This window comes from Homo sapiens, chromosome 2, assembly GCF_000001405.40.
Source record: "Homo sapiens chromosome 2, GRCh38.p14 Primary Assembly".
Classification (NCBI taxonomy): Eukaryota; Metazoa; Chordata; class Mammalia; order Primates; family Hominidae; genus Homo; species Homo sapiens.
Window position 1 is genome coordinate 218,459,119 of NC_000002.12, and position 24,222 is coordinate 218,483,340.

Genomic DNA, 24,222 nt, shown 5'->3' on the forward strand with positions numbered 1-24,222 from the left:
CACCAATTCAATAGTTTTCAGTGAGGAACAACCGTTTTTGGTATTTAATTATAAAGATGATACAGTTATTCAGTGTAACTAAAGGTAATTTTTTCCCCCCGAGATGGAGTTTCGCTCTTGTTGCCCAGGCTGGAGTACAATGGCATAATCTTGGCTCACTGCAACCTCCTCCTCTTCCCAGGTTCAGGTGATTCTCCTGCCTCAGCCTCCCAAATAGCTGGGATTACAGGCGTGTGCCACCACGCCCAGCTAATTTTTGCATTTTTAGTAGAGACAGGGTTTCACCATGTTGGTCAGGCTGGTCTCGAACTCCTGATCTCAGGTGATCCACCTGCCCCAGCCTCCCAAAGTGCTGGGATTACAGGCGTGAGCCACCATGCCCGGCCAACTAAAGGTAATTTAATACATACATGCCTTTACTGAGTTCTTACCTAACATGCATGTAAAGTGGTCAGGATGTATTCCTGTTTTTTTTGTTTGTTTGTTTGTTTTTTTAAATCTTGTATGTGAAAAATGAACAGCAAATGACAAGAGAAAATGAGACCATCTAATGGCTACTGAAAGGGCCAAAATGAACCTGCAGTGGACACTGAAAGTGGGGCCTTTGAAGTAAAGAGTGGGAAGAGTGACACTGAATTTGACCAACTGTACTCAGGAATGAAAACAATTACCTCAGCATTTCTTTTCAGTTCCTCAGCTTCAGCTTCTGTGTACTCCATATCAAAAACATCCTCATTTCCAGAGTCCTCATCAGAACCCAATGCATCCACAAAGGAGTTGTTAAACTCTGAAGAATACAAAGACAAAATCTTATAAAAGTTCTTGGAATAGAATGGACGTGGTGGCTCACACCTGTAATCCCAACACTTTGGGAGGCCGAGACAGGTGGATCACCTGAGGTCAGGAGTTCGAGACCAGCCTGACCAACATGGTCAGAGATGGGGTAGAGAAACTCCATCTCTACTAAAAATACAAAAAAAAAAAAAAAAAAATTAGCCAGGAGTGGTGGCTAATGCCTGTAATCCCAGCTACTTGGGAGGCTGAGGCAGGAGTTTCTTGAACCCAGGAGGCAGAGATTGCAATGACCTGAGATTGCACCATTGTACTCCAGCCTGGGCAACAAGAGCAAAACTCTGTCCCAAAAAAAAAAAAAGTTCTTGGAATAGACATAACAGATATAATTAGAAAGATAAAATAGTTTGAGGTACACATTTTATCATTCTAAGAAAACATAAAACGTAATATGACGGTCCAACACGCTCAGCCCACTGTGGGGAACACGGGAGACATGGTATCTGTAAAAGAAACGCTCTTTTTCTTTTAAATATATTTATATGATAAAGGGATCTAACCCTTATAAGAAAGATATAAAACTAGAAAATAATTTTACATATAATCCAATTTCACTAAATTCTATATGATATAAGCTATATATGTTAGATTTCAAGTACTTGGTGTCATTAGCAAACATAAATTATCCTCACAGAAAAAGGATTATAAAAAGGTCAATGTTCTTTTTTTCTTTGTATTAAATCATTTCTTGGCCGAGTGTGGTGGCTTATGCCTGTAATCTCAGCACTTTGGGAGGCTGAGGTGGGCGGATCACAAGGTCAAGAGATCAAGACCATCCTAGCCAACATGGTAAAACTCCTTCTCTACTAAAAATACAAAAATTAGCCAGGTGTGGTGGCGCACACCAGTAGTCCCAGCTACTCGGGAAGCTGAGGTAGGAGAATCACTTGAACCCGGGAGGCGGAGGTTGCAGTGAGCCGAGATTGCGCCACTGCACTCCAGCCTGGTGACAGAGCGAGACTCTGTCTCAAAAAAATAAAAATAAAAAAAAAATCATTTCTTGAAACGTACCAAAAAAGTAAAGAGAATTCAACCTTTAACTCTTAAATTTCACGTAAGATATACTAAACAAATACAAGATCTGTATTTTCTTGAATAATACGTGTCCACTGGAAGCATCCATCTTTACTAATGGTGTTAAATAAAGAATCCCAGGAGCATTTGTACATAAATGGTTATTTGCTTTAATATATAATTAGCTCCACTAAAATCACAGTATAGTGTGATTTACAATCACATGAATATCTAAGAATGAAGCCAGGCACGGTGGCTCACACCTGTAATCCCAGCACTTTGGGAGGCCGAGGCAGGTGGATTACCTGAGGTCAGGAGCTGGAGACCAGCCTGACCAACATGGTAAACTCCACCTCTACTAAAAATACAAAATTAGCTGGGCATGGTGGCACATGCCTGTAATCCCAGCTACTTGGGAGGCTGAGGCAGGAGAATCGCTTGAACTCAGGAGGCAGAAGTTGCAGTGAGCCAAGATCACGCCACTGCACTCCAGCCTGGGCAACAAGAGAGAAACTCCATCTCAAAAGAAAAAAAAAAGAAAAAAGAAAATCTAAGAATGTGAAGAACAGGAAAAGAGAATATAGCTTCAAAATTCTGGAAGTTGGAAATACATGTGTGACTGACTCAGCAGACCTAAGAAAGCCAAAGCCATACCCCAAGCCAGCAATGGAAAAGTTGAAAACTAATCCAATTTATATCACTGAATGTTCAAAAGACACAAGAAGACATGGAAGAACTAGGCCAGGCATGGTGGCTCACACCTCTAATCCTAGGACTTTGGGAGGCCGAGGCGGGTGGGTGAACTGCCTGAGATCAGGAGTTCGAGACCAGCCTGGGCAACATGCCAAAACTCCATCTCTACTAAAATGAAATATAAAAAATTAGCTGGAACCTGGGCACGGTGGCTCACACCTGCAATCCCAACACTTTGGGAGGCCAACGCAGGTGGATCACCTAAGGTCAAGAGTTCGAGACCTGCCTGGCCAACATGGTGAAACCTCATCTCTACTAAAAATACAAAATTTAGCTGGATGTGGTGGTGGGTGCCTGTAATCCCAGCTACTTGGGAAGCTGAGGCAGGAGAACTGCTTGAACCTGGGATGCTGAGTTTGCAGTGAGCCAAGATTGTGCCATTGCACTCCAGCCTCGGCAACAAGAGTGAAACTCTGTCTCAAAAAAAGAAAAAAAAAAAATTAAAAAATTAGCTGGGTGTGGTGGTGCACGCCTATAGTCCCAGCTACTCAGGAGGCTGAGGCACAAGAATCACTTGAATCCGGGAGGCAGAGGTTGCAGTGAGCAGAGATCACGCCTCTGCACTCCAGGCCCTGGGCAACAGAGCATGACCCTGTCTCCAAAAAAATGAAGACATGGAAGAACCAGGAACCAGGTACCTCTGAAACTGGGGGATAAGGAGGGGATAAAATAAAGATTAGGTAAAAGCTGTTTGAGAAACAGATTCCTACATCTACTTCTTCCAGCTTCCTAACTCATGGACTTCTAAAACCTGGTCCACATATTAGTTCTGCCAAATGCTACGACATGTGAACCTTATGCTACTGAATACACTCACTCATGACTGCCCACTGACTGCCCCAGAATAAGCTCTTGAAAATTCACGGGGAAACTGAAGCCACATTATGTTCTTCTAGGAGTCGTAACAGTGGCAAAATTATAATTCTTTCATTAAACAGATGATAGATTGTTCTTGCTAATTTTTCAATATTAAAAAACATATTGTTAGAGATATGGGTATAGATGACAAAAATTATTTTGAAAAAAGCAAGCTGAAGATGAATACAAATGTTAGAATAGTGGTTTCCTCTGGGAGGAAGACAAAAAGGAGAGATATAAAGGTTACTTCTAAGGTTCTATTTCTTTACCTGGGAGGTATTCAAATTTGTTATCAAAAAACACATTTTAGCTTGTAATCTCGGCACTTTGGGAGGCTGAGGAGGGTGGATCACTTGAAGCCAGGAGTTCAAGACCAGCCTTGGCCAACATGGTGAAACCCCGTCTCTACTGAAAATACAAAAATTAGCTGGGTGTGGTGGCACAACCGCTAATTCCAGCTACTCGGGAGGCTGAGGCATGAGAATTGCTTGTACCCAGGACGTGGAGGTTGCAGTGAGCCAAGATTGCACCACTGCACTCCAGCCTGGGTGACAGAGTGAGAGGCTCTCCCCCACAATAAACACACACACACACACACACACACACACACACACACACACACACACACACACACACTTTCTTTATATGTTCTTCTATGTGTGAATGGTAATTTTACCATTAAAAAAATGTAATTAAAAAGATCTCCACACCTTGAAGACTTAACTCGGTAGCTCTTTTGAGGTCATCATCTTCTTTCTGTTCCCAAGCCTCCTAAAGGGAAAAGAACAAAAACTAAGGTATTTAAAGAGGTACTGATTAAACTTACTTAATGAGGATAAAATCAGTTTCTCTGGAAGCATTTGCTAAGAATGCTTTCTATAACCTTATGGATGTTTGGAATATTACCTTTTGAGGAATGTGGGGAAGTTCTTTACTTTTTTTTTTTTTTTTTTTTTTTGAGACGGAGTCTCGCTCTGTCCCCCAGGCTGGAGTGCAGTGGTGTGATCTCGGCTCAATGCAAGCTCCGCCTCCTGGGTTCACGCCATTCTCCCGCCTCAGCCTCCCAAGTAGCTGGGACTACAGGCGCCCGCCACCACGTCTAGCTAATTTTTTGTATTTTTAGTAGAGATGGGGTTTCACCATGTTAGCCAGGGTGGTCTCAATCTCCTGACCTTGTGATCCGCCCACCTCGGCTTCCCAAAGTGCTGGGATTACAAGTGTGAGCCACTGCGCCCGGCCCACTCCAGTATTTTTTAAGATTTTTTTTTTTTTTTTTTTTGAGAGGGAGTCTTGCTCTGTTGGCAGGCTGGAGGGCAGTGGCACGATCTCGGCTCACTGCATCCTCTACCTCCCAGGTTCAAGCGATTCTCCTGTCTCAGCCTCCCGGGTGGCTGGGACTACAGGTGCGTGCCACCACACCCAGTTAATTTTTTTTGTATTTTTAGTAGAGATGGGGTTTCACCATGTTGGCCAGGATGGTCTCGATCTCTTGATCTTGCAATCTGCCTGCCTCAGCCTCCCAAAGTGCTGGAATTACAGGCATGAGCCACCATACCCAGCCCATTCCAGTATTTTTAAAGCTCCCCAGTAAATTTGAATGTGCAGTTAAGATTAAGAACCACTGATCTAGAGAAATTAGATTTCTTTTTTTTTTTTTGAGACAGAGTCTTGCTCTATAGCCAAGGCAGAAGTACAGCAGTAGCGTGATCTTGGCCCACTGCAACCTCCACCTCCCGGGTTCAAGCAATTCTTGTGCCTCAGCCTCCTTACTAGTTGAGAATACAGGCGCACGCCACCACAGCAGGTTAATTTTTGTATTTTTAGCAGAGACAGAGTGTCACCATTTTGGCCAGGCTGGTCTAGAACTCCTAGCCTTAAGGGATCCACCCACCTTGGCCTCCCAAAGTGCTGGGATTACAGGCGTGAGCCACAGTGCCCAGCTTAGATTTCTTAATCTGATTATCTGATGAACCCAAAGCAGGCCTCAAACAAGTACTAAACCTACCCATTCATTCTAGGGAGTCTTGGTAAATTTTTACTAACATGACTTGGATTGCACAGGATTAGATAACTATGAAAAATCAGACCTGTAAGTCAGATCCTGTTGCCTATAAATCTGATATTTCAGGTGACTGTAACAGTGGAAAACAAATGGCATAAACTGAACATTGAAGAATAGGTTACTACATAAAGAAAAGAGCAAGGGCTGGGGGCAAATAGCTCATGCCTATAATCCCAGCACTTTGGGAGGTTGTGGTGGGAGGACTGCTTAAGCCCAGGAGTTTGAGACCAGCCTGGGCAACAGTGAGACACTGTCTTTACTAAAAATAAAAAAATGAGCCGGGCATGGTGGATGCTCCTGTGGTCCCATGTACTTGAGAGGCCTAGGCAGGAGAATTGCTTGAGCTCAGAGTTTGAGGCTGCAGTGAGGAATGATCAAGCCACTACATTCCAGCCTGGGCAACTGAGCAAGACCCTATCTCAATAAATAAACAGGAAGACAGATAAATGTTCTAATACTAAAATCTGAAAATTAGATTTTAGAAAATATTTGTGATAATTCTATGTTCAAATAATTCATAAAAAATTTATATTCTTAGAAAATAACCAAAACAAATACATTGCCTTAAAATACAATTATAAAATCATGGTGTTATACTGGTTGTTTCTACAGCTTGCAAAATAATGCTGGACTGGGAAGCCAGGCATGGTGGCTCACATCTGTAGTCCTAGCACTTTAGGAGGCCAAAAGGGGAGGAGTGCTTCAGTCCAGGAGTTCAAAACCAGCCTGGGCAACATAACAAGGCTCTGTCTCTAAAAAATTAAAATAGAAAATAAAAATAAAAAGAAAAGAAAAAAATAAATTTGGACTAGGAATAATCTATAATACCCCATCCTGTTTTAGCAAGCAATGAATTATAGTTATGAAAGGTAACCAACAATACATTTTATTGCATTTGGATTGTCAAAAAAAGAAACACTACCCACGTACCTGTTTCAAACCCAGGCTGGAGTGCAGTGGCGTGATCTCAGCTCACTGCAACCTCTGCCTCCTGGGTTCAAGCGATTCTCCTGCCTCAGCCTTCTGAGTAGCTGGGACTACAGGTGTGTGCCACCATGCCTGGCTAAGTTTTATATTTTTAGTAGATGGGGTTTTGTCATGTTGGCTAGGCTGGTCTCAAACTCCTGGCCTCAAGTGATCCGTCCGCCTCAGCCTCCCAAAGTACTGAGATTACAGGCATGAACCACCAAACCCTGCCTCAAACAAGTCTTTTTTTTCCCCAATGACTTACTCTATGTAAATCATCTGGAACAATGTCTGACACATAGTAAGTGCTCAACACATTAGTTATTATTATTATATTTCTCAGGAAAGGTAAGTACAGAGAAAGTAGCAATATAAATATCTCTTACTTGCTCTTGAAGGCTCTGAGCCAGTGCCTGCTGAAGCTCTTGCTCTTCCCTTTCACGCTCCATATCATACTGCTGGAGCCAATCAACTTCTCCCTGAGATCCTTCTGGAGTTTTGTTTTCTTTATTCTCATCACAGTCTTTAGTTATCTCAGTAAAACTGGCAGGATCTGAGGAAGCAGAACATAACATTAATTTGGAAAATCCTAATAAATGGAAATTTCTGAACTAGAGTGACACCTACTGTTCATAAAGCAATTTACCCTAATTTCATCTATAATTTGCTTAGGACATACAATTTCACCTTACTAGATCTACGTCAGGGTTGATCAACCTAGAGCTATTGACATTTTGGGTGGGACAAGCTTTTGTTGGGGTGAGGGGAGAAGAGTATGTCCTGTGCATTGTAGAACGTTTAGCAGTGTTTCTGGCCTCTACCTACTAGATATTAGTAGCATCCACCCTCTACAGTTGTGATAACCAAAAATGACAGACACTACTATATGTCCTCTGGAAGGCAAAATTGTTCTTGTTTGAGAACAAATGATCTACAGTGATGGTTCTAAAAGTTAATTAATCATCAGAAACACACTATGTAAAGATGGGGAAGAAAAAACAGCCATAGGTCATAGTGTCACTTGACCAAGTACTGGAAATAAAATATTTTTAGAGCAAATGAAGTAAGAATTAGGCCAAAATGATCAAGCTACTATTGAGATTTTCCCCATTCTTTTTTTTATTTTTTGGGGACAGTGTCTTGCTCTCTCACCCAGGCTGGAGTCCAGTGGCACTATCTCGGCTCACTGCAATCTCTGCCTCCTGGGTTCAAGCAATTCTCATGCCTCAGCCACCAAGCAGCTGGGATTACAGGTGCACGCCATCACACCTAACTAATTTTTGTTTTAGTAGAGATGAGGTTTCATCACATTGGCCAGGCTGCTCTCAAACTCCTGACCTCTGGTGATCTGCCCGCCTTGGGCTCCCAAAATGCTGAGATTACAGGTGTGAGCCACTGTGCCTCGCCGATTTTCCCCATTTATTACACTGTATGTTGAACATGTGTTTAAACATTAATAATCAAACAAGCATTGTATATATCTAAATCAAGAGTGTATGGCAATATACAGTGTGTGTTTAAAACATTCAGGAAGGTAAGAAATCCCCTCCCCCCTCCTCCCTTCCCCCTCCCCCTGCCCAGGCTGGAGTGCAGTGGCTCACTGCAACCTCCACCTCTTTCAGGCAATTCTCCCGCCTCAGACTCCTGAGTAGCTGGGACTACAGGCGCCCGCCACCATGCCCAGCTAATCTATATCTATCTATCTATCTATCTATCTATCTATCTATCTATCTATTTTTTTTTGAGATGGAGTTTCGCTCTGTTGCTCAGGCTGGAGTGCAGTGGCGCGATCTCGGCTCACTGCAACCTTTGCCTCTAGGGTTCCAGCGATTCTCCTGCTTCAGCCTTCCGCGTAGCTGGGATTACAGGTGCACGCCACCACGCCCGGCTAATTTTTGTATTTTTAGTAGAGACGGGGTTTCACCATCTTGGTCAGGCTGGTCTCGAACTCCCGACCTTGTGATCCGCCCACCTCAGCCTCCCAAAGTGCTGGGATTACAGGCGTGAGCCACCGTGCCTGGCCTAATTTTTGTATTTTTTAGTAGAGATAGAGTTTCACCATGTTGGCCAGACTGGTCTTGAACTCCTGACCTCAGGTGATCCACCTGCCTTGGCATCCCAAAGTGCTGGGATTATAGGCGTGAGCCACCCCTCCCGGCCTGTTCCTTCTCAATTTCTAGACTACGGCTAGCTAAAATAAACAGAATAGTTATGATTTTTTTCTGGTTATCTGAATTGTTAGAGCAATAACATTTCATGTTTTTTTTGTTTTTTTTTTTTTTAAGACTGAGTCTTGCTCTGTCGCCCAGGGTGGAGTGCAGCGGCACAATATCCGCTCACTGCAACCTCCACCTTCTAGGTTCAAGCGATTCTCCTGCCTCAGCCTCCCGAGTAGCTGGGATTACAGGTGTTCACCACCACACCTGGCTAATTTTTTATATTTTTGGTAGAGATGGGGTTTCACCATGCTGGCCAGGCTGGTCTCGAACTCCTGACGTCAAGTGATCCGCCCACCTCGGCCTCCCAAAGTGCTGGGATTAACAGGCGTGAGCCACCATACCCGGCAATTTCATAATTTTTGTATTATTATTATTTTTTGAGATGGAGTTTCGCTCTTGTTGCCCAGACTGGAGTGCAAGGGCGTGATTGTGGCTCATTGCAACCTCCACCTCCCGGGTTCAAGCAATTCTCCTGCCTCAGCCTCCCAAGTAGCTGGGATTCTCCTGCCTCAGCCTCCCAAGTAGCATGCACCACCATGCCCAGCTAATTTTGTATTTTTAGTAGAGGCGGGGTTTCACCATGTTGGTCAGGCTGGTCTCGAACTCCTGACGTCAGGTGATCCATCAGCCTTTGCTTCTCAAAGTGCTGGGATTACAGGATTGAGCCACCATGCCCGGCCCACGATAATTTTCAATACAAATACAAGCGTTAACTATATCAAACATTACTAAAGTAAACCTCCTCATCAAGAAGTATTTAACTGGCTAACGAGAATTACCTTTATATACTCATGCTATACATACTGTTATTGAGTTTGTATACGCTCTTTACCTGCCCTAGTACTGTATTTTATCTTATTTTATTTTTTGAGACCGACTCTCACTCTGTTGGCCAGGCTGGAGTACAGTGGCACAATCTCGGCTCACTGCAACCTCCAACTCCCGGGTTCAAGAGATTCTTATGCCTCAGCCTCCCAAGTAGCTGGGATTACAGGCGTGTGCCACCACACCCGGCTCATTTTTTATTTTTAGTAGAGACAGGGTTTCACCATGTTGGCCAGGCTGGTCTTGAACTCCTGACCTCAGGTGATCCACCTGCCTTGGCCTCCCAAAGTGCTGGGATTATAGGTGTGAGCCACACTGCGCCCGGCTCCTAATACTGTATTTCTCTGTGGCACAGGTAACCCTGAAGCTTACAGCATCCTGGCTTTAGATTCTAAGTCAGCAACTAGTTAGCATTTTGAGTTGTACTGAATTGCTGAGTGAATATTTATTAAAAGAGGAAAAGAGACTCAGAATTTATTTGGTGGAAAAATCCCAATTGTTCAGAAAAATTATATTACAGATAATCCCAATTAAACACACAAAAAACAATTATCCTAGAGATGTCAATAATTTCTTCCTTTCTTCTATTATTGGAGAAACAACCCTTGCCATGGCCTAGAAGGGGCAGCTTGGAAGTCTACATGACCCTGCCTGTCCCTCCTACCTACGCCTGCTGAACTGGGAATGGATTATTTGACTCAACCAATCAGATTATCTGTTTTGGAAATTTGGAACTGAGATATACAAAGTTAGCTGATGATGAGCATTTCAAGTGGAAGGAAGACTTGGGGGTTGATATTGCTATTTTAGAGTATAAAATGAGTATTATTATTTTTATTATCAAAACGTACTCAAAAACGTGACAGAATAATTTTTCTTAACCAATAATTTTGAACACTCAATGATTCAATGTACCTCAGACAATCCTGGATTATACTAGTAACTAATCCATGTGTTAGAAAGGAGATCAAGGAAGTTTGCTTGAAGATGCTAAAGTCAATATACATTTGTCTTCAGGATAAGATTATCAGACAGATACAGAACGTATTTAAAAATCTATGGGGACAAACATGGCCATGAAATAATAATCCACTTTTAAGGACTGTACAATGGATCAAAGGGGATTCATGTGTTTAACTCAACATTCTTTTTTTTTTTTTTTTTTTTTTTTGAGACAGAGTCTTGCTCTGTCGCCCAGGCTGGAGTGCAGTGGCACCATCTCGACTCACTGCAACCTCTGCCTCCCGGGTTCTTGCCATTCTCCTGCCTCAGCCTCCCAAGTAGCTGGGACTACAGGCGACCGCCACCATGCCTGGCTAATTTTTTGTATTTTTAGTAGAGACGGGGTTTCACCATGTTAGCCAGGATGGTCTCGATCTCCTGACCTCGTGATCCACCCACCTCAGCCTCCCAAAGTGCTGGGATTACAGGCGTGAGCCACTGCGTGTGGCCTTAACTCAACATTCTTCCACTGAATATACTGTTTGCTTCTTCCCCACGCCCTAATTGAAACCCACTCTCTTCCTGATATTCTATATTTCAGTGAATAAGATAATTTTCCACAGTTTCTTTTAAAAGACAGATATCTGAGGATCATATGTGACTTCTCCCTCTCATTCACTCCTCACATAAGATAAATTATTATTTCCTAAGCATCTCTTGAATCCATCAACTTTTTTTTTCAAGCCAAAACCTTGGCTTAGGACACCACTAACTTCTTGTTTGGACTACTGCAATAATTTCCTAAGAGGTCTCAAGTATTACTGTTTTTTTCTAACTTCTGTAGCCAGAATGATCTTTTCTTCAAACATAAATCCTTATCAAATAATTGTTTGCTTAAAATATCCAATAACTTCCTAATGCCTTTGAAACAAAAGTCCAAATTCCTAAACATGGCTTCAGGCCATGCAAAAACCAGAGACTACTTAGCTCTCTAGTCTCATCTTTTGCATTTCCCCTTCAACAATATGCTCCAGTCATGCCGATCATTCTGAACTTTCTTTTAGGTCCACTAACTTGCTGTGGGCTTTCTCATTTCTGAGTCTTTGTACACACTATTCCTTCTGGCTAGTGTCTAGAGACTGTAAAACCTTACTTTGCCTTCCTGCCCCTCCTCAGCTGATTCACAAAACAGCCCAACTGTTAAGTCACAGATATTTATTGAGAATCTATGTGCCAAGCACTGTTGTAGAAGTTGGGGATATAGTGATAATTAAAGCAAGATGGTGCCTGCCCTCAAGGACCTTAAGTGCAAAAGCTCTGAGATGAGAATGGCCTTGGCATATTTGAGGGAGGGAGAGAGGGAGGGAGAAAAAGAGAGAAATAAGTACAGATTTCAGGAAGACATCATGGAGACTGAGAAAACAAATAAGAAAGTATTACAAAACTGACTAGTAGCATTTAGTGCCCATTTAAGAGTGTAGTCCTGAGTTTGAGGAAAGTCCACGGAACACAGTTTTGTGATTTTCTTTAGCAATCTTCACCAGCTTGGGTGCAGGTATGGAAAAAGTAGCTAGTTGAGTTGGGAGTTGGGGTTTTGTCAGGCTACTGCGACAGAAGAAAAGAGGAAGGAGATAATTGGCATTTCCAGGAAGTTCACAGATTATATTTGATGATCTAAGTTCACACTTTGAGAAGCACTGGTCTAGGGTAATGACTTCTGTAAGTGGGCAACCAAAATAGGGTAGAAGAAAAGACTTTTGGAATTAATATCAGAAACTGAGAAAACAGGCTGCTGAAAGAAAGTGATCATGACACTTCTTTGGACTGTCTTTTCTACTTAAGCTCTCTAAGTGATCTCATGTATTACTATAGCCTCACAAACTGATGAAATATCAAATTCATATCTCTAGTCTGAATTTCTCCCCTGAGCTTTAAACTTGTATATTGAAATGCCTAGGTGAAATCTCCATTTGCCTGTTTAATTTTTATTCCTCCCTTGTCCCACCAACTGTGCCTTCCTCATATCAGCAAATGGTACCATTATCTATCCAATTGCTCAGGCCAAAAAACATGTCTCCCTTGATTTTTTTTTTCCCTTGGCACCTTTGTGGTGTTGGTTAGAAAGATCAGCTGGGGCTGGGCGTGGTGGCTCATGCCTGTAATCCTAGCACTTTGGGAGGCTGAGGCAGGTGGATCACCTGAGGTCAGGAGTTCGAGACCAGCCTGGCCAACATGGTGAATCCCCATGTCTATTAAAAACACACAAGAAAATTAGCTGGGTGTGGTGGCGGGCGCCTGTAATCCCAGCTACTCGGGAGGCTGAGGCAGGAGAATCACTTGAACCTGGGAGGCAGAGGTTGCAGTGAGCTGAGATCATGCCACTGCACTCCAGCCTGGGTGACAGAGAGAGACTTGGTCCGCCCCAGGAAAAAAAAAAAAAAAAGAAAGATTAGCTGGGATGGCTAGATATCCTCTTTCTTTTGGTGATCTCAAGAGTCTTTCCTTCGCAATGTGATCTCTCCAGCAGGGCAGCCAAACTTCTTACGTAGCAGCTTAGGGTTCCCAAAAGCACAAAAGGGGAAGTTGCCAGGCCATCTTAATGTTTAATCACGAACTTGGCACAGAATCAATTCAATCACATTTTATTGCACTCACATAGCCTTCCCAAATTCACTGTGAAGAGGTCTACACAAGAGTATGCATACTGGTAGCCACGGTTCACTAGATGCTGTCTTTGGAGACTGAGTGTGTATATACACACACTCACACTTTTCTTTTCTATGGAGCCATGTGAATACACTGTAATTGCAGATATTATAATACTTTACCCCAAAGCACGTCAGCCTGAATCTCTCTCTCTTTTTTTTTTTTGAGACAGAGTTTTGCTCTTGTTGCCCAGGATGAAGTACAATGGTGCAATATCGGCTCACTGCAACCTCCTCCACCTCCTGGGTTCAGGCAATTCTTCTGCCTCAGCCTCCCAAGTAGCTGGGATTACAGACATGCAACATCACACCCGGCTAATTTTGTATTTTTGGTAGAGATGGGGTTTCACCATGTTGGTCAAGTTGGTCTTGACCTCCTGATCTCAGGTGATTCACCCACCTCAGCCTCCCAAAGTGCTGGGATTACAGGCATGAGCCACCGTACCCAGCCCAGCCTGAATCTCTTAATTAAAAGCACATTTTCCTACATAACAATTATCACATCTAAGAATATTAACAGTAATTCTATTTATAATTCCAATATATAGCCCACATTCTCATTTCTCCAGTTGTTTCCAAAATATTTTTTGTAGAATTTTTTCTAACCTAGACTCCTAAGGTTACTCACTACATTTGGTTGTCAGGTCTCTTTAGTCTTTAGTCAGGGCCAGTTTTTCTTCTAAAGCCTCCCATTATGGATTTTTCTAGTGTTCTTTTAAGTACAGGCTGTTTTTTTCCCCATACCCCAGAGCCTGGAGACAGGGTGGGTTTCCTCTTTACTACCCACTGCCATTTCCAACTACTCTGTCTCCTTTCAGGCTATAAAAACTGTAGCTCCCTTGAAGTGCATGATATAGGACATTGCCACATATTACCTCTTCCTGTAGCTGTCCCTTTGTTAATTTTAGGAAGTTATAGGACTGGGCAAAGAACTGAAAAGGAGAGCAGAAAGCAGGAAATAAATCAGGAAGGGACAAAAGCACTAATATTAACCAGGGATACCTAAGGGCAGTGATTATAAATGTAGTAAGGGGACTGCATAATGATACTTGTATCAAGAAGGAAAAAAGTAATGCCTGTGTATAAAAACCATCACGTTTTTGCTTCCAGTTAAATGGGGATATACTAATTCTTATTTTACTTGCATGCAAAATAATTCATAATTGAAGAGGTTCCAACTATGAGAATGTAGAAAATAATTTCCTGATATTCTAGTATTCTCTTCATTTCCAAAATCCTATGGCTGGTGTACCTGAAACACATTAGCAATATATAGTTGTCTAGATCTTGGGGCTATCAAGAGAGAAAAATTTGAACTGGTCATAGGAAAAGATAGTAAAAGTTATCTACCTAAAAATTTCAAAACACCCACAGTACAAGGCAGGATGGCTCAGCTCTGTTGTTCCCACTGATAGCTTTAGATAACAAAAAATGAGTAAAAATTACCAAAAAAATAGTATAGCATTTTATGTACAGTCATGTGTTGCTTAATGATGAAGACACATTCTAAGAAATTGCATGGTTAAGTGATTTCGTCTTTGTGCGAACATCTTCGAGTATATTCAACACAAACCTAGATGGTATAGCTGACTATACATCTAGGCTACATGGCATAGCTCCTGGGCTATAAACCTGTAAAGCATGTTACTGTACTGAGTACTGTAGGCAACTGTAACACAATGGTAAGTAGTTGTGTATCTAAATACATCTAAACATAGAAAAAGCAATGCATTGTGCAGGGAATGGAGAACTTGAATTATTTATACCCTAACACCTGGTGTAAATTCAGATATAGGAAAATGAAAGAATTATATGAATTTCTGAAATAGCAGTGGTGAGAAAAGCACCTCAGAACTGACACAAACATATATTAAATGCACATAAGAAGGCTAGTTTTACTAGTGATGTATACCTAAAGGGATATGGCATACTTTACCACTAGTATCTGTGTACTAGTCACAATATTTGCTTCTCATTTTTCAAAGCTTTTTATAATACAGAATGAAAATGCCATCAACCCTGTTATATACAGATCCACTTCACCTCCCTTTATTTGTTTTTATCTGAGAAGGAGTCTCACTCTGTCGCCCAGGCTGGAGTGCAGTGGTGCAATCTTGGCTCACTGCAACCTCCGCCTCCCGGTTCAAGCGAATTCTCCTGCCTCAGCCTCCCGAGTAGCTGGGATTAGGGTCACACACCACCATGCTCAGCTAATTTTTCTATTTATCTCCCGTTATTTGGAGGTTATTTGTCACTACAAAACTTTGAAAGAGTTATGTTTTGTTTCACAGAGGTTTAATCTTCATTAAACCTACCCAGCTCTGTGATTGTTTTGGGCTTCTCAGTTTCCATAGTGTCTGGATTTTCTGGCATTTCTTGAATATCATCTTCTGCAAATCCGGTATCTGGGCTGCTAGTTGGCTTATCATCATCTTCATGACTCAGAGATGGTGAAGCATCTCTCTTACTTATCTCCAAGACAGCTGCTAGAAGCTCTTCTTCGCTCATTCTGTCAAATCCTGAGTTTTCCAATTCAGACTTGTCAGGCTCTATTGGGCATAATTTTGAATCCTGAAGAAGAGAGTTACTTTTAGAAGAAACCAGAATACCTACAAATATAGCAATCTTAATTAGTATTTAAAGTAGCAACTTTATTTCTAAAAAGTTTCCTTTCTTTGATGCTTTGGGTTATTTAACAATCAATAACCAATATATAAACTAAATGGTGAGTCTAACTTTAAAAATAATAAATACATAAGAATACATTATTTTTTCTTGATTGAAATAAGTATATATTTTGTACAAATTTGGAGAATACATAAAAATAATAAAATAAATTCATTCAAAATAGATTACTCAGAGATAATTACTCTAAGTATTTTCAATTTATTTTCTTCCAGATATATATAGATTATACAGTAAATATTCTATCATTATGCCTACTACACCATTATAAATGTTAGCTGATCTTATTAACAATAAATGAGAAAAATAAACACGACATCAAGATTATGTAAAGAAGGCTGGGCGAGGTGGCTCACGCCTGTAATCCCAGCGGTGGATCACCTGAGGTCAGGAGTTTGAGACCAGCCTGGCCAACATGGCGAAAACCCGTCTTTACTAAAAATACAAAAATTAGGCTGGGCGTGGTGGCTCATGCCTGTAATCCCAGCACTTTGGGAGGTCGAGGCCAGCAGATCACTTGAGGCCAGGAGTTCGAGATCAGCCTGGCCAACATGGATAAACTCCATCTCTACTAAAAATACAAAAAAATTAGCCAGGCATGGTGGCACGCACCTGTAGTCCCAGCTACTAGGGAGACAGAGAATCGCCTGAACCTGGGAGGTGGAGGATGCAGCAAGCTAAGATCACACCACTGCACTCCAGCCTGGGTGACAGGGCAAGAGTCTGTCTCAAAAATAAATAAATAAATAAATTAAATAAAAAACCAAAACCCAAAAATTAGGGAGATGTTGTGGTGTACGTCTGTAATCCCAGCTACTCAGGAGGCTGAGGCAGGAGAATCACTTGAACCTGGGGGATAGAGACTGCAGTGAGCCAAGATCGTGCCACTGCACTCCAGCCTGGGCAACAGAGTGAGACTCCGTCTCAAAAAAAAAAAAAGATTATGTAAATATTCAAAAGTTGTTTTCTGGGAGAATTTTGGACTTTCACACATTTCTCATTCAAGTTGAACAACCACAAACTACCTCTGGCTTTAAAGTAAGATAGGAAACAGAACAAAAATAACTACTAAAATAATTCTATTATTTAAAAGGGAGGCTTAAAATAAAATACAGTAGCATAAGATAATGCAAACACCTAGAAAAGCTTAGATCTTCAAAGTATTAACTATCCATATAATTATCTATATATTAATCCAATTAATAAATCCATAATTTAAACAATTAGATTACTTGGTTGCTCTGTTGATGTAAAATGTTTACTACAGTTCCCTCACATAAACAATTGCTACAGGCTGGGAGTAGTGGCTCATGCCTGTAATCCCAGCACTTAGGGAAGCTGAGGTGGTAGGATCACCTGAGCCCAGGAATTTTAGACCTGCCTAGGTCACACAGTAAGACCTTGTCTCTACAAAAAATTTTAAAAACTAGCCAGGCATGGTGGTACATGCCTGTAGTCCCAGCTACTTGGGGAGCTGAGGTAGGAGGATTGTTTGAGCCCAGGAGAACGATGCTGTGGTGAGCCGTGATTACACCACTGTACTCCAGCCTGGGCAACAGAGCGATACCCTGTCTTAAAAAACTGCTACCAAAATAAAGCAAGTAATTATTTGAGGACGAATATGCAAAAGTAGCTTTGAAGGGCAAAAAAAGAAAGTAATTTGTTTAGAACAACGAATTTCTCGTAAGTCTTGATCCATCTGTAAACAGACTGATTTCTGTAGCCAGAGAAGGCATTTTCTTTAAAACTAATTAGTTTGATGATGGTTATGAAAGACATTTGTTTGGACAGTAAGAGATAAACAAATCTTTGTCAGATGTTTTAAGAAAATATTACTTACTTTTTCCAGGTCTTCCTGCTGCTGTTCGTTGCCTAACATTTCACAAAGTCTCTGGCTGAGGGCCACAGAACGTTTTAGCTCATCCTCACTGTCTGAATCAAGGCATAAAGCCAAGGAGCTCTTGGATTTGAAGGTGAATTTCCTGTAATTTAAGGAAAAAAAAAAAAGCCTGATAAACATTTGTCTTTGTTATTCTTTTATTGTAAAAATATCAAAACAAATTGCTTTTCCATTACGGAAAATTACTTAACAGAAAAAAAAGATATATCAAAAGAGGTATATTTCAGCATTACCTTTGCCCCACTCCAAAAGAGCCATGCTTTGAAAACTGGACAACTCTTATGCTACTACGTATCATCAGTAAACTAATCATGTTGTGCCTTTTTTCTTTTAATGATCAACCCCAATGAAATTTGCTATTGTCTTTATAAATTATGCTATTGAATTCATGCAGGCATAGCAATGAATAAATGTTTTTGACAACAAAGTGCATGAAGACTAATTTGTGATCTTTTAAATTATGATCCATGCACTTTAAAAATAACAGTAACATTCCACTTATCCACTTATCTGTAGGTCAGACTTCTGGCAACCTCTACTTTCCAGAACATAGGGATTCCAAAGTAAGAAAAAAGGCTTCTGAGGAAGGCAGTTCCAAAGCCCATGTACTTAGAGGGACCCTTTCTTTCCCAGGAAATGGTGAATAAAATAGTGTATCAAGTTCATCAAGAAATGAGAGCTAAGAAATGAGAAAGAATAACCACAAGAAAGGCAAACAAGAACTATAAAGTCATTTAATGTAAAAGCAAACTATCTTGTAATAATTAAGAGCCTCTGAGGGCAATATCATATTGAAACACAGTGCAATAATTGATACTTAAAATGCTGATTCTAAGTCATTAAGATATACTTAAATTATCCTTAGTTATTTTAAGAATGTAAGGAACAGTGTAACATATTTTAGAAACATTTTCATCCAAACTGTTAAAAATCTTTTAAAAGATAAATCGTTAAAAGGTAAGCTTCAGTTATATAAAAATTCACTTATGTGGAATCCTTTAATGATGCCAGATAAGTAAGGTGTTACTGTGTTGTCTTCTAGGTAAGCCGAAAATAAACTAAAGAAAAAAGTGGTAAAGGTCAAAGAACAAGAACTTTCTTTGATGGAGGTTAACACAAATTCATATGCAATACAAAAAATATATATAAAATGAAAACTAGAAAATACAATTAACCTGAATGTAAAAACTGAAAATAAACATATAGACTAATGGCACCAAGAAATAAGAGGCCAGAGTGGAAATCAGGAAGATTACATAGCAATGTAGATCAAAGAAAAGAGGCAAGTGGTCAGTGATAAGCCCAAACATAGTGTGTGGCTCAGAGCAGCCAGGATATCACTGCACTCCAACCTGAACACTTGAAAAGCCTCCCATGTGCTCAAAAGGGTTTTTAGTATAATAGCCAATTAGCCATCTTAATTCCTCAATTCAGATTTCACGCTCACCAAGCAAACCTGAACATATTAATTTGTTTACCCAGATAAATATTTTGCTGAAGGAGGATGACACCTGGCTACCATTGCACCAGGGTAAATTTGTGACAAAGGACATTGTAGAAGAATCAATGGTATTCTGGTTCATAACTCAGCCTCTTTTAAGTTTGATCGGCATGACAGGTCTTCTAGGGCCTAATCATTCTTTATTGATCAACTCCCAAATTTTCATACCAGCAGACCCTGGAGAACAGATGACCATGCCAAGGTACAATGATGCCCAATGAAATCATTTCTTTCTTGAAACTACAGTGACTTGGTACATAGAGTGCATTCCATTAATGATTACTATATTTACAGAAGGCAGCTTGCCTGTAGCAATGAAAAATATTCATCCTGTAAATGCATCACTTGCTCACTTTCTAAGCAGCCAAGTGGTATTGCTCATTTGTATCTTGAGAACGGGCAAGAGTATTCATATCGGTACCATTTCAGATTTCTAGTCATGTTAGTCATCTGGTTTTAATTGCACTGAAAAATAATTAACAGGAGGAAAAGAAAATAGCAGTTCCCAAATGTCATTTTATGGTTATATAAGCCCCCCAAAAGCCCTTAAACAACAAAAATGTCTCTTCTCTAAAAGTACTTTGGGCCATCAAATTTTTAGAAAAATTAATTAAAAAGTCAAACGACAACTAAATCAATTGAAATGATCTAATCAGGAACTCCTCTAGTAAAATCTTAGAGGAAATATATTTAAAAAGCAAACAAAAAAGGCATGTGCTTCCCTCCTTGGATAAAGTTTGGTCTTAAACAAAAAAATAGGGCATTTGTAGAATGCTTGCTTGTTTTCCTGTCCCCTTTCAAAACAACTCCTATTCGGTGTCAAAGACAAGAAGTTCCAGACTGGCTAACAACAGGTAAAAAATGTTTTGGGATTCCATGCCTATCTTTAAGGAAGAGTGCTTTAGACTAATAGGGGTTATTTTATCCCTTAAATCCCTAGACTCCCTTGTCCTCAGTTAATTTTTAGAGTTTTAGGATGAAAGTATTACATATTAACAATAATAAGTTTTTAAAAGTTTTAAGACAGAATATTGAGAGGATGAGCTAACCTTGTGTCACTGATTAAAATTTGTTATATCCTTCAATATATTCTAAACCAAATTCAGGAAAGTTTCAAAAGTATAGGTAATAAAGAGCATTATCATGCAAAAAGAAAAACAATAATGAAAAGGCAGGGAGGCAATCTTGGAGATTAGGGTAAGCCAAAACCTTAAACACAGATTTTGGGTACATAAGAAATATAACTCACTTTGAAGGTGTAGAAGGGCTGGTGATGCAGGAATTCACCATTTGAGAGGCTTTCAATGGTCTAGAACTATCAGAAAATTAGAAAATATATAATGTATACAAATGAATTATTAAAGATATATATTTAAATTATAAAATGAATTATTCTTACTATAATTCCTTTTATGTCCTCTTGAAAATTGAACAATTATAATACTTTTTAAATTACTAGCAATAGGCCAGGTGCAGTGGTTCACGCCTGTAATCCCAGCACTTTGGGAAGCTAAGTGGGCGAATCACCTGAGGTCAGGAGTTCAAGTCCAGCCTGGCCAACATGGTGAAACCCTGTCTCTACTAAAAATACAAAAATTAGCTGGGTTTGGCGGCGGGTGCTTGTAATCCCAGCTACTCGGGAGGCTGAGGCATGAGAATTGCTTGAACCTGGGAGGCGGAGGTTGTAGTAAGTGGTGATCGCACCACTGCACTCCAGCTTGGGCAACGGAGTGAGACTCCATCTCAAAAAAAAAAAAAATGGCCGGGCATGGTGGCTCATGAGGTCAGGAGATCGAGACCATCCTGGCTAACATAGTGAAAACCCGTTTCTACTAAAAAAATACAAAAAATCAGCCGGGCATGGTGGCAGGCGCCTGTAGTCCCAGCTACGCGGGAGGCTGACGCAGGAGAATGGCGTGAAGCCGGGAGGCGCAGCTTGCAGTAAGCGGAGATGCGCCACTGCACTCCAGCCTGGGCGACAGAGCGAGACTCCGTCTCAAAAAAAAAAAAAAAAAAAAAAAAAATACTAGCAATAGAGGCCAAAAGAGAAAATAAAATACCATCTCTAGGCTCTCCTTGATCCAATAATCTACATAGACAGCACTGGAAATGAAGTCAAGTGTAATACATATGAAAAAAATAACTTGGAGAAAATTACCTTGTCTCAGTTCTTTTAAAGTAATAGCTCTCATTTATGGAGGATTTACTGGATGTCAGACACTGTGCTAAGAACTCTACATATTATTACCTCATTTAATGTTCACAACCATCCTATTGTTTTTCTTATAGACAAGTCAAGGAATCTGTGCAAGGTCTAAAAGCTATCAAATTGTACAGTCAGATAGCTTGGCTTCAGGCCTGTGATCATACACTATTAGTGTGACATAGTACTACTGCCAGCAAGAGTAATAGCTCTACCAGCAGAAGGTAGTATGCACCAAGCAAAAACGTGAAAAGCTGTGAGAGGAAAAAACCAGAAACACTTAGACTCTCTGGGCACATGCCTTTATTAGTAGACCCTTGAGACACTAGTGTAAACTTCTATGAGACGTGGCTCTTTCAGACACTAACTGTATGACTTTAGGAAAATCATTTAATTTCCTTGGTCCTCTTAAGGGTTTGGACAAAAACCTCTAAAATCTCTTCCATCTTCAAAGTTCTACAATTTTATTATTCTACCAAACTAGTGTTCAAGTATAGAAAAGAATGACATAACATATGGCTTCAAAGTAATGCAAGTATGTAGAAAAAAGGGGAACACTCAAAGAAGTCCGAAGGTTTTCCCAGCATACATGATGAAGCAAAAACCTAAAGTAAAGATTACTTCTTTTTTTCTTGAGAAATTTCAGGAGCCATTTAAGTTCTTTACACTGCTGATAATATATGCATGAAGGCATAACATTGAGTATAGGGTTTCTCACATCTGCATGTCCTGAAGAGTCAACTGAAGCATTTGCTAAAAATATTGATTCCTAAGCGCCTATCTCAGACCTACTGAAACAGAACTTCCAGGGAAAAAACACAAAAATCAGTATTTTTAGTGTCTAGGTGACTCTTATTATCACCTAAGTTTGACTCATATTCAAGAAGTATATCAAACTGTCTTCTAGCACTCTAACCAAGAGCACTTCCTAAAAAAGCACCTCACTATGAAAAGCAACTAATAACTTTGGAAAAATTTTAAGCATTTTCTTCAATTACTTCAGGCAGTGATTTAACACTAAAACAAAGTAAAGCAAAATTAAAATCTCCTTCTTGGTCTGATTTCTTTTCTTTTCTTTTCTTTTTTTTTTTTTTTTTGAGATAGGGTCTTGCTCTGATCACCATTCACTGCAGCCTTCATCTCCCAGGCTCCAGCAATCCTCCCACCTCAGCCTCGAGTAGCTGGCACTACAGGTGTGTGCCACCATGCTGGCTTTATTATTTTATTTTTTGTAGAGATGAGGTCATGCTCTGTTGCCATAGGTGGTTTCAAACTCCTAGGCTCAAGCGATTCTCCTGCCTCAGCCTCCCAAAGTGCTGGGATTACAGGCATGAGCCACTGCATCTGGCCATTGATCTGATTTTACCTTGGAGTCATATTATGTAATTCAGTCATTCTTTTGATTAGATACTAAAGCCTTTCTATTTCAAAAGGGAATATAAAGACATAGTCTCTCAAGGACTTACATTGCCATATGTGCACTCCAACCAAGGGTAAAAGGTGGTTTTGTATTTTCAGTGCAATGAGATGACAGGGTCAGGTATCTTGGAATGATGACTTGCTGCCCAATCTTATTGTTAAGCGAGAGAGCCACATTGAAGCTATATCGTTTCAAATGGAGAATGAGGACCCTGAAAAACAGGAGATGACAACCTTACTAATTCATACATAATACATGTATCTTTCTTACAGTAAAAGAGATCACTCTATGTTAGACGACTTTTGATTTAAAAAATCCATTTGGCCAAACCAAAGACACGTCAAAGAATATTTACTGAATACCTGTTAGTGCCAGGCATTGGGCTAGGTAAAAAGCATACAAATAATGGTGGATTAGTGTGGTTTGGGTAAAATACTTATAATGTTCCTAGAAAAAACACAAATAAATAAAATATAGCAGACAAGAATGTTAAATTTGGCACTGATATTGGGTTAAATCCTTAAATTATTTACTTCACTGTTACATAGTTTAAAAAGCAATAGGTTTTATATAACCACTACTAGTAAAATAATGTCTATTAAAATGTTACATAGCTCTTATATTTGATGGTAAACATTAATTACTTCAAGATGATTTTTGATGAGAATTATTCTTTTATTTTCAGAAGTACTTTCTCTGTAGAAAGCTAAGGAGGAAATACAAAACTTTTCCCCATTTAGAAAAAAGCTTTACAAAAATTTGCATGCCAAATCTGATCTGTGGGTCTGTAAAGGCTTTTAGCTCTTTAGAAGCACTGAATTCTTTGTGGTTAAAATTGTGGTAACCTTTTCACTTCTCACACAGAACACGATCTCTGCTTGATGGATTAAATATATTTCTCAACCCACAAGAACACTTTAAAAATTGAATTTCAAACATCTTATGGGAATAAACTTCAGTTCTAGGCACACACACAAAAATGATCTATAAAAAACTGATTCTTACCATATATGCCTTCATCACAGAAGCCACAAACAAAAATTTGCAAACTGAAGTTATAGATTGTAGTTCTCTTTAAAAAGCGTGCTAGAACTCAGGATCTTCAAATATACAATTTGAGAGAATACAAGGACACAACTGATATGAAACCAATGTCAAAATTAAATATTTTAACTAGAATTTCAAATAACCTAACCAAAATAAAAGGTAATATGAGGCTACTCTGGACACACTGCCTATAGTGTAGCCCTGCTATGCATGGAGCAGTAAAAGGTGGGGGGGAAGGTAATATAAAACAGGAAAATGATAGTCAAAATC

The 24,222-nt window shown here is 40.1% G+C and overlaps 1 protein-coding gene across 1 annotated transcript in view, besides 1 other annotated feature; it reads right to left on the reverse strand.

The window, feature by feature from the left end:
* The window catches only part of USP37 (ubiquitin specific peptidase 37), a 118,101-nt gene that overhangs the window by 8,868 nt on the left and 85,011 nt on the right, over positions 1 to 24,222 (reverse strand). The window contains exons 17-23 of the mRNA NM_020935.3: positions 22,952 to 23,116; positions 20,532 to 20,597; positions 17,722 to 17,863; positions 15,512 to 15,767; positions 6,892 to 7,058; positions 4,188 to 4,248; positions 672 to 787 (exon numbers count right to left, since the gene is read on the reverse strand). Coding sequence (NP_065986.3) covers positions 672 to 787; positions 4,188 to 4,248; positions 6,892 to 7,058; positions 15,512 to 15,767; positions 17,722 to 17,863; positions 20,532 to 20,597; positions 22,952 to 23,116 — 973 coding nt within the window. The remainder of the gene's footprint in view (positions 1 to 671; positions 788 to 4,187; positions 4,249 to 6,891; positions 7,059 to 15,511; positions 15,768 to 17,721; positions 17,864 to 20,531; positions 20,598 to 22,951; positions 23,117 to 24,222) is intronic.
* Positions 7,008 to 7,302: a silencer, noted in NCBI's record as "tiled region #3568; K562 Repressive non-DNase unmatched - State 13:Ctcf". NCBI's record gives its function as "represses a minimal TATA promoter and a strong SV40 promoter by Sharpr-MPRA in K562 cells {active_cell/tissue: K562}" and the evidence as "EXISTENCE:reporter gene assay evidence [ECO:0000049][PMID:27701403]".